The following is a 13,668-nucleotide window of genomic DNA, read 5'->3' as shown; positions in this document are numbered from 1 at the left end:
AATATTATTATGTAACACATGACTATAGATAGTAAAATGGTTACTATAGTGAAGCAAACTAATATATTAACTCACATTGTTACTTTAGTGACAAGAGCAGCTAAAATCTACTTATTTAACAAAAACCAGTAATATAATTTTATTAACAATAATCCTCAGGTTGTACATTAGATCACTTGTTCATTCTACATATCTGCTACTTTGTATTCTTTGACCCCTACCCTCACCCCTAGTAACTGCTATTTCATTCTATTTAACCTTTTTTTCCCCAAAATATTCTACACATGAGTGAAATCATGCAATATTTTTGTTTCTGTTCCTGGGTCATTTTACTTAGCATAATGTCCTCCAGGTCCATTCATATTGTGGCAAGTGGCAGGATCACTTTACTTTTTATGGCTGATTAATATTTCTTTATAAACTATATACATATGCATATATAGGCATACATATACATATATAAAATATATATCTCACATTTCCTTTATCAACAGACAGACTGTTTCCAATCTTTGCTATTGTAAATAATGCTACAGTGAACATAGGAGTACAAGTATCTTTTTGAAGTGATGATTTCATCTCCTTTGGGTATATATACAAAGATTGCTGTGTCATATGATGGGGTTTTGTTTGTTTGCTTTAATTTTTTTGAGAATGAGTCTTAAACACTGAAAGCCTGTACTGTCACCCAGGCTGGAGTGCAGTGGCGCGATCTTGGTTCACTGCAACCTCCGCTTCCCAGTTTCCAGTGATTCTCCTGCCTCAGCCTCCCAAGTAGCTGGTATTACAGGCATGCGCCACCACACCCAGCTAATTTTTGTATTTTTAGTAGAGGTGTCAGGCCGGTCTCAAACTCCTGACCTCAAGTGATCCTCCCACCACAGTCCCCCAAAGTGCTGGGATTATGGTTCCAATTTTAATATTTTCAGAAAACTCCATACTGTTTTCCATAATAGCTGAACCAGTCTATATTCCCATCAGCAGTGTGTTGGGGTTTCCTTTTTCTCCATATCCTCGCCAACATTTATGATTTCTTGCCTTTTTGATGATAGTCATCCTAATGGGTGTGAGATGACACAGGGGTTTTAATTTGCATTTCCCTCCTCATTAGTGATGTTGAGCACCTCTTTATATACCTGTTGGCCATTTATATGTAGTCTTTGAAGAAATGTCTGCTCAGGTATTTTGCCCATTTAAAAAAATCGTGTTATTTGTTTTTCTGTTATTGAGTTACAAGAGTTCTTTATAAATTTTGGATATTAACTCTTTATCATATATGTGATTTGCAAATATTTTTTTCCAGTCTGTAGGTTGCCTTTTCATTTTGTCGATTGTTTCCTTTGGTGTGCAGGAGTTTTTTTAGTTTGGTGTGGTCTCATTTATTTTTGCTTTTGTGGTCTGAGGTTTTGATGCAATATCCAAAAGCATAAATAATCATGACATATAATCTTTTCGAAGTATTCTTACACTTGGTTTGCTAATGTTTTATTGAAGGTTTTTATATCAATTTTTATCAGAAATATTGGCCTGTAGTTTTGTTTTCTTGTGGTATCTTTGTGTGGCTTATGTATCAGGGTTATGCTGGCTTCATGTGTTTGGAAGTATTCCCTCTGGCTCTATTTTTGGAAGCGTTTAAGAAAATACTGATATTCTTCTTTGAATGTTTGGTAGAACTCAGCTGTGAAGCCATCTGGTCCTGTGCTTTTCTTTGTTGGGAGATGTTTTATTACTTACTCAATCTCTTGCTACTGGTGTATTTCTTCCTGACTCTATTTATGTATTTATTGTTTGTTTGTTTGTCTATTGTAACTATTTCTCACTCCGTCACCCAGGTTGGAGTGCAGTGGCACAATCTTGGCTCACTGCAATCTCTACCTCTTGGGTTCAAGAGATTCTCTTGCCTCAGCTGCCCAAGTACCCGGGATTACAGGCACACACCACCACACCTGGCTAATTTTTTGTATTTTTAGTAGAGACGGGGTCTCATCATGTTGGCCAGGTTGGTCTTGACCTCCTGACCTCAAGTAATCCACCTGCCATGGCCTCCCAAAGTGCTGGGATTACAGGCTTGAGCCACCACGCCTGGTCAACTCAATCTTGGCAAGTTATATTTTCCTAGAAATTTATCAATTTGCTCTAGGTTATTCAATGTGTTGGTACATAGTTGTTCATTTATAATCCCTTATGATGCTTTTTATTTTTGAGGTGTCTGTTGCAATTTCTTCAATTTCATTTTCTGTTTTATTTATTTTTGTCTTCTCTCTCTTTTTCTTAGACTAGCTAAGGGTTTGTCAATTTTAATTTTCCAAAGAATCAACTTGGTTTTATTGATTCTTTCCATGGCTTTCTGTTTTCTGTTTATTTCTGTTCTAATCTTTATTTCCTTCCTTCCGCTAATTTTGGGTTTGTTCATTCTTTTATATAGTTCCTTGAGACATAATCTTTTACTATTTATTTGGAATTTTTTAATGTAGGTATTTAATGCTATAAACTTCCTCCCAAAACTGCTCTTACTTCATCCATAAGTTTTGATATGTTGTGTTTCCATTGCCATTTGCCTCAAGAAATTTCTTATTTTCCCTTTTGATTTATTTGTTGACTTATTGGTTGTTCAGGAGCATGTTGTTTAATCTCTACATGTTTGTGAATTTTCCAAGATTCTTCTTGTTATTTATTTCTAATTTCAAACCATTGTGGTCTGAAATAATATCAGATATTATGTGAATTTTCTGAAATTTGGTAAGACTTGTTTTGTGGCCTTTACATACAGTCTATCATGGAGAATGTTTTATGAATGCTAGAGAAAAAAGTATATTCTGCTGTTGGGTGGAAAGTTCTAAATAGTCTGTTAGGTCTTTTTGGTAAAAAAAAAAAAAATGCAGTTCAAATTCAGTATTCTCATATTAATTTTCTGTCTAATTGATCTATCCATTGTTGAATATGGGATATCAAAATTCCCCACTATCGTATTGCTGTCTATGTCTCCCTTCATGTCCATTAATATTTATACATTTAGGTTCTACAATGTTGGGTGCAAATACATTTACAATCACTCTGTCCTCTTGATGAATTGACCTCTTTATCATTAAATAATGACACTCTTTGTTTCTTGTCAGTTTTTGACTTAAAGTCAACTTTAAATTTAGCCACCCCGATATCTTTTGATTACCATTTGCATGGACTATCTTCTTCTATCCCTTCACTTTCAGCCTATGTGTGTTCTTAAAGCTTAAGTGAGTCTTTTGAAAGCAGCATATAATTGGATCTTGTTTTTAAAAATTCATTCAGCTACTCTTGAGTGGAGAATTTAATGTTTAAATTAAAGGTTATTATTGATAAGTAAAGACTTATTACTGCCATTTTGTTTGTTTTCTGGTTGTTTTGTAGCTGCTTCATTCCTTCATCTTTTGTTATTATACTTTAAGTTCTGGGGTACATGTACAGAGTGTGCAGGTTCATTACATAGGTATAGACGTGCCATGGTGGTTTGCTGCACCCATCAACCCATCATCTACATTAAGTATTTCTCCTAATGCTATCCCTCCCCTAGCCCGCAACCCCCCAACAGACCCCAGTATGTGATGTTCCCCTCCCTGTGTCCATGTGTTCTTATTATTCAACTCCCACTTATGAGTGAGAACATGTGGTGTTTGGTTTTCTGTTCTTCTGTTAGTTTCCTGAGAATGATAGTTTCCAGCATCTTCCATGTGCCTGCAAAGGACATGAACTCACCCTTTTTTATGGCTGCATAGTATTCCATGGTGCATATGTGCCTCATTTTCTTTATCTAGTCTATCATTGATGGCATTTTGGTTGGTTCTAAGTCTTTGCTATTTTGAATAGTGCTGCAATAAACATATGTGTGTATGTGTCTTTATAGTAGAAAGATTTATAATCCTCTGGGTATATACCCAGTAATGAGATCACTGGGTCAAATGGTATTTCTAGTTCTAGATCCCTGAGGAATCACCACACTGTCTTCCCAATGGTTGAACTAATTTACACTCCTACAAACAGTGTAAAAGCGTTCTATTTCTTCACATCCTCTCCAGCATCTGTTGTTTCCTACTTTTTAATGATCACCATTCTAACTGGCATGAGATGGTATCTCATTGTGGTTTTGATTTGCATTTCTCTAATGACCAGTGATGATGACCTTTTTTTCATATATTTGTTGGCTGCATGAATGTCTTCTTTTGAGAAGGGTCTGTTCATATCCCTCACCCACTTTTTGATGAGGTTGTTTGTTTCTTTCCTGTAAATTTGTTTCAGTTCTTTGTAGATTCTGGATATTAGCCCTTTGTCAGATAGATAGATTGCAAAAATTTTCTCCCATTATGTAGGTTGCTTGTTCATTCTGATGATAGTTTCTTTTGCTGCGCAGAAGTTCTTTAGTTTAATTAGATCCCATTTGTCAATTTTGGCTTTTGTTGCCATTGCTTTTTGTGTGTCAGTCATGAAGTCTTTGTCCATGCCTATGTCCTGAAGGGTATTGCCTAGGTTTTCTTCTAGGGATTTTATGGTTTTAGGTCTTACATTTAAGTCTTTAATACATCTTGAGTTACTTTTTGTATAAGGTGTAAGGAAGGGATCCAGTTTCAGCTTTCTCCATATGGCAAGCCAGTTTTCCCAACATCCTTTATTAAATAAGGAATCCTTTCCCCATTGCTTGTTTTTGTCAGGTTTGTCAAAGATCAGATGGTTGTAGATGTGTGGCCTTATTTCTGAGGGCTCTGTTCTGTTCCATTGGTCCATATATCTGTTTTGGTATAAATACCATGCTGTTTTGGTTACTGTAGACTTGTAGTATAGATTGATGTCAGATAGCATGATGCCTCCAGCTTTGTTCTTTTTGCTTAGGATTATCTTGGCTATGCGGGCTCTTCTTTGGTTCCATATGACATTTAAAGTAGTTTTTTTTCTAATTCTGTGAAGAAAGTCAATTGTAGCTTGATGGGGATAGCATTGAATCTATAAATTACTTTGGGCAGTATGGCCATTTTCACGATATTGATTCTTCCTGTCCATGAGTATGGAATGTTTTTCCATTTGTTTGTGTCCTCTCTTATTTCCTTGAGCAGTGGTTTGTAGTTCTCCTTGAAGAGGTCCTTCACATTCCTTGTAAGTTGTATTCCTAGGTACTTAATTCTCTTTGTAGCAATTGTGAATGGGAGTTCACTCATGATTTGGCTCTCTGTTATTGATGTATAGGAATGCTTGTGATTTTTGCACATTGATTTTGTATCCTGGGACTTTGCTGAAGTTGCTTATCAGCTTATGGAGATTTTGGGCTGTGATGATGGGGTTTTCTAAATATAAGATCATGTCATCTGCAAACAGAGACAATTTGACTTCCTCTTTTCCTAACTGAAAATGCTTTTTTCTTTTTCTTGCCTGATTACCCTGGCCAGAACTTCCAATACTATGTTTAATAGGAGTGGTGAGAGAGGGCATCCTTGTCTTTTGCTGGTTTTCAAAGGGAATGCTTCCAGTTTTTGCCCATTCAGTATGATATTGGCTGTTGGCTTGTCATAAATAGCTCTTATTATTTTGAGACACGTTCCATCAATGCCTAGTTTATTGAGAGTTTTTAGCATGAAGGGCTGTAGAATTTTGTCCAAGGACTTCTGCATCTATTGAGATAATCATGTGGTTTTTGTCAGTGGTTCTGTTTATGTGATGGATTACGTTTATTGATTTGAGTATGTTGAACCACCCTTGCATCCCAGGGATGAAGCCAACTTGATCATGGTGGATAAGCTTTTTGATGTGCTGCTGGATTTGGTTTGCCAGTATTTTATTGAGGATTTTTGCATTGATGTTAATCAGAGATATTGGCCTGAAATTTTCTTTTTTTGTTGTGTCTCTGCCAGGTTTTGATATCAGGATGATGCTGGCCTCATAAAATAAGTTAGGAAGGAGTCCTTCTTTTTGTATTGTTTGGAATAGTTGCAGAAGGAATGGTACCAGCTCCTCTTTGTACTTCTGGTAGAATTTGGCTGTGAGTCTGTCTGGTCTTGGACTTTTTTTGGTTGGTAGGCTATTAATTGCTGCCTCAATTTCAGAACTTGTTATTGGTCTATTCAAGGATTCGACTTCTTCCTGGTTTAGTCTTGGGAGGGTGTATGTGTCCAGGAATTTATCCATTTCTTCTAGATTTTCTAGTTTATTTGCATAGAGGTGTTTATAGTATTGTGTTTTGGTAGTTTGTATTTCTGTGGGATCAGTGGTGATATTCTCTTTGTCATTTTTTATTGCACCTATTTGATTCTTCTTTCCTTTCTTCTTCATTAGTCTGGCTAGCAGGCTATTTTGTTGATCTTTAAAAAAAACAGGTCTTGGATTCATTAATTTTTTTTTGAAAGGTATTTCATGTCTATCTCCTTCAGTTCTGCTCGGATCTTAGTTATTTCTTGTCTTCTGCTAGCTTTTGAATTTGTTTGCTCTTGCTTCTCTAGTACTTCTAATTATGATGTTAGGATATCAATTTTAGAACTTTCATGCTTTCGCTTGTGGGCATTTAGTGCTATAAATTTCCCTCTACACACTGCTTTAAATCTGTCCCAGAGATTCTGGTACATTGTGTCTTTGTTCTTATTGGTTTCAAAAACCATCTTTATTTCTGCTGTCATTTCATTATTCTAATCTTGTCTTCTTGCTTTATTTCATTGAGTAGTCATTCAGGAGGTTGTTCAGTTTCCATGTAGCTGTGCGGTTTTGAGTGAGTTTCTTAATCTTGAGTTCTAATTTGATTGCACTGTGGTCTGAGAGACGGTTATGATATCCGTTCTTTTGCATTTGCTGAAGAGTGTTTTACTTCCAATTATATGATCAGTTTTAGAATAAGTAAAATGTAGTGCTGAGAAGAATGTGTGTTCTGTTCATTTGGGGTGGAGAATTCTGTAGATGTCTATTAGGTCTGCTTGGTCCAGAGGTGAGTTCAACTCCTGGATATCCTTGTTAATTTTCTGTCCCATTAATCTAATATTGACAGTGGGGTGTTAAAGTCTCCCACTATTATTGTGTGGGAGTTTAAGTCTCTTTGCAGGGCTCTAAGAACTTGCTTTATGTATCTGGGTGCTCCTGTATTGGGTGCATATATATGTAGGATAGTTAGCTCTTCTTGTTGCATTGATCCCTTTACCATCATGTAATGCCCTTCTTTGTCTCTTTTGGTTTTTGTTGTTATAAAATCTGTTTTATCAGATACTAGGATTGCAACCCCTGTTTTTGTTTTGTTTTGTTTTGTTTTTTGCTTTCCATTTGCTTGGTAATCTCCCTGCATCCCTTTAGTTTGAGCCTATGTGTGAGTCTTTGCACGTGAGATGGGTCTCCTGAATACAACACACCGATGGGTCTTGACTCTTTATCCAATTTGCCAGTCTGTGTCTTTTAATTGGGACACTTAGCCATTTACATTTAAGATTAATATTGTTATGTGTGAATTCGATCCTGGCATTATGATGCTAGCTGGTTATTTTGCCTGTTAGTTGATGCAGTTTCTTCATAGTGTGGATGGTCTTCACAATTTGGTATGACTTTGCAGTGGCTGGTACCGGTTGATCCTTTCTATGTTTAGTGCTTCCTTCAGGAGCTCTTGTAAGGCAGGCCTGATGGTGACAAAATCTCTCAGCATTTGCTTGTCTGTGAAGGATTTTATTTCTCCTTTGTTTATGAAGCTTAGTTTTGTTGGATACGAAATTCTGGGTTGAAAATTCTTTCCTTTAAGAATGTTGAATATTGGCCCCCACTCTCTTCTGGCTTGTAGGGTTTCTGCCAAGAGATCCACTGTTAGTCTGATGGGCTTCCCTTTGTGCATAACCCAATCTTTCTATCTTGCTGCCCTTTACATTTTTTCTTTCATTTCAACCTTGATGAATCTGGTGATTATGTGTCTTGGGGTTGTTCTTCTCAAGGAGTATCTTTGTGGTGTTCTCTGTATTTTCTGAATTTGAATGTTGGCCATCTTGCTAGATTGGGGAAGTTCTCCTGGATAATATCCTGAAGAGTGTTTTACAGCTTGGTTCCATTCTCCCCATCACTTTCACACACACCAATCAAACATAGATTTGGTCTTTTTACATAGTCCCATACTTCTTGGAGGCTTTGTTCATTTCTTTTCACTCTTTTTTTTTTAATCATGTCTTCTTGCTTTATTTTATTCAGTTGATCCTCAATCTCTGATATCCTTTCTTCCACTTGATCGATTTGGCTATTGATACTTATGTATGCTTCATGAAGTTCTTGTACTGTGTTTTTCAGCTCCATCAGGTCATTTATGTTTTTCTCTAAACCGATTATTATAGTTAGCAATTCATCTAACTTCTTTTCAAGGCTAGCTTCCTTGCATTGGGTTAGAACATGATCCTTTAGCTTGGAGGAGTTTGTTATTACCCACCTTCTGAAACCTACTTCTGTCAATTCATCACACTCATTCTCCATCCAGTTTTGTTCCCTTGCTGGCAAGGAGTTGTGATCCTTTGGAGGAGAAGAGGCTTTCCAGTTTTTGGAATTTTCAGCCTTTTTGAGCTGTTTTCTCCCTATCTTTGTGGAATTATCTACCTTTTGTCTTTGAAGTCAGAGACCTTTGGATGTGGTCTCCGAGTAGACGTCCTTTTTGTTGATGTTGATTCTATTCTTTTTTTTTTTTTTTGTCAGTTTTCCTTCTAACAGGCCCCTCTTTTGCAGGTCTGCTGGAGTTTGATGGAGGTCCACTCCAGATCCTGTTTGCCTGGGTATCACTGGCAGAGGCTGCAGAACAGCAAAGATTGCTGCCTGTTCGTTCCTCTGGAAACTTTGTCCCAGAGGGGCACCTGCCAGATGCCAGCCAGAGCTCTCCTGTATGAGGTGTCTGTTGGCCCCTACTGGGAGGTGTCTCCCAGTCAGGATACACAGGGGTCAGGGACCCACTTGAGGAGGCAGTCTGTCTCTTATCAGAGCTCAAACACTGTGCTGAGAGATCCGCTGCTCTCAGAGCCATCAGTCAGGGACATTTAAATCTGCTGAAGCTGTGCCCACAACTGCCCCTCCCGCCATGTGCTGTGTCCCAGGGAGGTGGGGGTTTTTATCTATAAGTCCCTGACTGGGGCTGCTGCCTTTTTTTCAGAGATGCCCAGCTCTGAGAGGAAGGAATCTAGAAAGGCAGTCTGGCTGCAGTGGCCTTGCTGAGCTGCAGTGGGCTCTGCCCAGTTCAAACTTCCAAGCGGCTTTGTTTATACTGTGAGGGTAAAACCGCCTATCAAGCCTCAGCAATGGCAGATGTCCCTCCCACCACCAAGCTTGAGCATTCCAGGTTGAGCTCAGACTGCTGTGCTGGCATGAGAATTTCAAGCCAGTGGATGTTAGCTTGCTTGGCTCCGTGGAGGTGGGACCCGCTGAGCCAGACCACTTGGCTTGGTGGCTTCAGCCCCCTTCCAGGGGAGTGAACAGTTCTGTCTTGCTGGTGTTCCAGGTGCCACTGGGGTATATAAAAAAAACTCATGCATCTAGCTCAGTGTCTGCCCAAACAGCTGCTCAGTTTTGTGCTGGAAACCCAGGGCCCTAGGGACATAGGAACTGGAGGGAATCTCCTGGTCTGCAGGTTGTGAAGACCATGGGAAAAGCTCAGTATCTGGGCCAGAGTGCATGGTACAGTCCCTAATGGCTTCCCTTGGCTAAGAGAGGGAGTTCCCTGACCCTTGTGCTTCCTGGGTGAGGCAATGCCCCACCCTGCTTCAGTTGTCCTCCTTGGGCTGCACCTATTGTCCAACCAGTCCCAGTGAGATGACCTAGGTACCTCAGTTAGAAATATAGAAATCATCCACCTTCTGTGTCGATCTTGATGGGAGCTACAGACCAGAGTTTTTCCTATTAGGCCATCTTGCCAGCAATCCCCCCTCTTTTCTTTTCTACATTTGTGATTTGATAATTTTCTATAATGCTAAGCTTTGATTCCTTTCTTTCTTGTTTGTATATCTGCTGTAGTTTTTTATTTTGTGGTTACTATGAAGCTTACATAAAATATTTTATACTTACAATCTGCAATTTTAAGCTAAAAATAACTCTGTCACATAATGAAACTCTAGGTTTTTATCCTTCCCCTATTTATGTTTTGAATGTCATAATTTACATCTTTTTATGTTGTGTATTCCTTAACAACTTATTGTAGCTTTTGTTATTTTTGACCATTTTCACTTTTAATCTTCATATTGAAGATATATGTGGTTTACACGCCAGCTTTACAATATTGGCACATTCCAAATTTGACTCTAAATTTATCTCTACTAGTAAGTTTTATTTTTTCATATGTGTTAATGACAGTAATTATCATCTTTTTGTTTCCATTTGAAGAACTGCCTTAAGCATTTCTTATAAAGTGGGACTATTGATGAATTTCCTCAGTTTTTGCTTATCTGAAAAGACTATTCTCCTTCATTTTTGAATAACAGATTTGCTAAGCATAATATTCTTGGCCAGCAGGGCTTTAAAAAAAAAAACAAAAAAACACTTAGACTGTATCATCCCATTCTCTCCTGGCCTGCAAGTTTTTCCCTTAGAAATCCACTAATAGTAATGAAGGTTCTCTTATCTATGATGTAGGTGCTTTTCTTTTGTGGCTTTTAGAATTCTTTTTGTCTTTGACTTTTGACTGTTTTATTATAATGTGCCTAAGACAGGACTTCCTTGGGTTGAATCTATTTTGGAACCTATAATCTTAATGGGTCTGCATGTCCACATCTCATCCAGGACTTGGGATTTCCCCACAATTATTTTATTAAAGAAGCTTTCTTTGTCTTCTCCATCTCTTCTTTCTATGGAATCCCTATAATCTGAATATTTGTTTGCTTAATAATGCCCTATAGACTGTCTTTATTCCTTTATTTTTTTGCCCCTCTGAGTCATGTTAAAAAACCAGTCTTCAAGTTCATAGATTCTTTCCTCTGATCAGTATGGTCTGCTGTTGAAGCTTTCAATTGTATGTTTTATTTTATTCATTTAATTCTTCAGCTCCAAGATTAGTGGTAGTGGTGTTGGTGGTTGTTTTAATGATACCGGTCTCTTTATTAAATTTCTCATTCTGGTCATGAATTCCTTTTCTGGTTTCATTGAACTGTCTATTTGTATTCTCTTGCATCTTGCTGAGTTTCCTTAAGATCATTGTTTTGAATTTTTGAATTTCTTTTTGGGCAATTTATAAATTTTCATTTCTTTAGGGTTAGTTACTGAAGAATCATTGTGTTCCTTTCATAGTATCTTGTTTTCTTTTTCATGTTTCTTGTGTCCTTGCATTGATACGTATGTCTCTGGTTGTGCAGTCAGCTATTCCAAATTTTATTGATTGGCTTTCATAGGGAATTACTTTTATCTGCAGATGTGCTTGAGGGTGTCGGTTGGGCAGGGTGTGGTGACTCTGGTTCCATGTGGATATAGTGGAGTAATCTCCATGCAGTTTCTTTGGCTGTGATCAATGTTAGCGATGACTGAGGGTGACTCAGTGATCTAGGCTGCAGGGTTTGTGGCAGTGACAGTAGCTGTATAAGTTATTAGGGTAAGGACTTTAAGAATCCTCTTTAGTTAACAGATTTGCTAAGAGTTCCTCACAGTGGGAAATCTTAGTTGAGGGGATCTCTGTTGGTGCTGAGTCTTCCGTGGGTCATAGGTAGCCACAGTGGCACTGCAATCCAGGACATAGGTGCTTGGAGTAGCTGTGGAGTCAGGTTTGTGGACTTAAGGTCTTACAAAACTATTGCAGCCCTGGGGATTTAAGGTGCATGTTCACTTTCTGAGGCACAAGTGAATGCATTTCTCCCACTAAGCCAGGGTCGGTTGCTCTGAGATACACCCAAGTTTTTATCCAGAGTCCTGAGATATAGCTGTGATTTTGACCCTGAGGGGTAGGGTACAGCACTAGCCTGTGCAAGAAAGAAGGGATGCTTCAGAGCCTCAGGCCTTGAATTTAGGACCGCTTCAATTTGGGGCTGCAAATTAGCTCTGTGAGGCCAGGTGCAGCAGCAGCAACATGGACCCAAGAATGGAAAGATGCTGCAGTTGCTTGGACCCTGCGGGTAGGGAACAACACAGTGATGATACCCCTCCTTACAGAGGTGGAGTGCTGCAGCTTAAACTGCAGAAGGCTAATGTATTTCCAGATAGGCAAGGTGCTATACCTGTTCAGCCTGGAGAGTGAGGTCACACGGCTCATGCAAGGGTCTGATTCCCTGGGATGCAAGGGTCTGCATCTGCTCAACCCCAGAAAGTGCAGCTACGTGAGTCAGCAGAGCCTCTGGATCTCTGGGGGGTCAGGCACCATGTCAGCTATGGTGCTGGGAAATGCAACTGTTCTGATGGGCTAGAGCTCAGACTTCCTGGGGCGTAGCATGCTGCCGCCCTCAGCTTTGGCACTAGGGACACCAATAATTCCTTGTGCAGGAGGACTGAGGTCCCTGGGGGACAGGGTACTATGCCTGTTCTGAGGCTGAAGACACATTTCTCCAGTGTGCTGGAGATGCAGGTTGCTGGGGGAATGGGGTGATACCTTGGCTGTGGTGCTGGGGGCACAAATGTTCTGGTAGTTCAAGCCTCTGGGTCTGCAGGGGTGGGGTATTACTTCAGTTCAGCCCTATAGGGAGGATCCAGCAGTAACTGGGATGGGGGCATGGGGTGGCTCTGCAGGAGCTTGGCTCTGGGCCAAGCTCAGGGTATAGCAGCAGCTATACCCAAGCAGCTCTGCTTGGGGGTGGTGCACTACTGGGTGGGCATGGTGCAGTGGCAGCCGAGCCTCAGGGATAGATAGATGCAATGGCTGCTTGCCACTGGAATAGCATGCACTCTAACTGTGCCTCTGCTTATAAGATGGTGCAGAGCAATAGCAGCAAGGGCCATAGGGAGGTGGTCAGTGCACAGCGTCAGCTCCATCTCTGAAAGTAGCTCAGTGCGTGGACTCTAGGAGCTCTCTCGGCTGGGCTTAGACCCTGTGAAGGACACCTATGAGGACTGAAAGTGTCCACGATGCTAATGGTGGCTGTTGGGATCCTATTGCTTACCTTTTTCCAGCAGAGAGAAATCTCTCCTAGTCCCAAGCTGATCCCAACTGGGAAGATGGAGGTAGTGAGGGAAAGGTGTTTCCTTCCCTTCTCCATGCAGCATCCTGGATTTCTGTGCTCTGCAGGATTTCTGCTGCTGCTTTGCTGTTCTATGGTACTCTTCTTTATTTTGGTCAAAATATAGTTGTTTATTTGCTGTTTGGCGGGAGGATTTAGTGGGGAAGAAGAGCTCTAGGAGCTTCTAGTCGGCCATCTTGCTGACATCATTCTCAGGCAACTATTATTTTTAAAATCAAAGCAGTAAATGCAGGCTTACCTTCATATGTGGCTATTTGGATATGCACTCCTGAATAGATGTGTGTGATAAAAAAAAAAGTGTGATAAAAGTAATGATTTGTCACTTATTTTTTTTTTCTTCGTTAGATTATTAACTCTTCAATGCAAAGACTGTGTCTCTTCATGATAATAAGTTTCTATAGACTGCCTGGTATAAGACTAGAAATGTCACTGATGTAAATAGCAGTGGCATAGAAGAGGAGGATATAAATTATATTCCATATTTATAGTTAAATGTGTCTGTTTGCAGACCTTTCATTCACTCCATAGCTATATTTTCCATATTCCCTTGCATTGTTAAAAAGTGACA

General features: G+C 39.4%; 1 protein-coding gene across 6 annotated transcripts in view, besides 2 other annotated features; it reads left to right on the top strand.

Annotated features, from left to right (window-relative positions):
* Window positions 1–13,668, top strand: part of IGSF10 (immunoglobulin superfamily member 10) — a 187,494-nt gene that overhangs the window by 126,543 nt on the left and 47,283 nt on the right. The window lies entirely within an intron of this gene.
* Window positions 8,807–9,306: an enhancer, noted in NCBI's record as "H3K4me1 hESC enhancer chr3:151201865-151202364 (GRCh37/hg19 assembly coordinates)". NCBI's record gives its function as "activates a minimal SCP1, AML or CMV promoter by ChIP-STARR-seq in naive H9 embryonic stem cells {active_cell/tissue: H9 hESC(naive)}" and the evidence as "EXISTENCE:reporter gene assay evidence [ECO:0000049][PMID:30033119]".
* Window positions 9,307–9,808: an enhancer, noted in NCBI's record as "H3K4me1 hESC enhancer chr3:151201363-151201864 (GRCh37/hg19 assembly coordinates)". NCBI's record gives its function as "activates a minimal SCP1, AML or CMV promoter by ChIP-STARR-seq in naive H9 embryonic stem cells {active_cell/tissue: H9 hESC(naive)}" and the evidence as "EXISTENCE:reporter gene assay evidence [ECO:0000049][PMID:30033119]".

Source organism: Homo sapiens, chromosome 3 (assembly GCF_000001405.40).
Source record: "Homo sapiens chromosome 3, GRCh38.p14 Primary Assembly".
NCBI lineage: Eukaryota > Metazoa > Chordata > Mammalia > Primates > Hominidae > Homo > Homo sapiens.
Note: the sequence above shows the minus strand (reverse complement) of the source record. Positions and strands in the feature narration are given on the sequence as shown.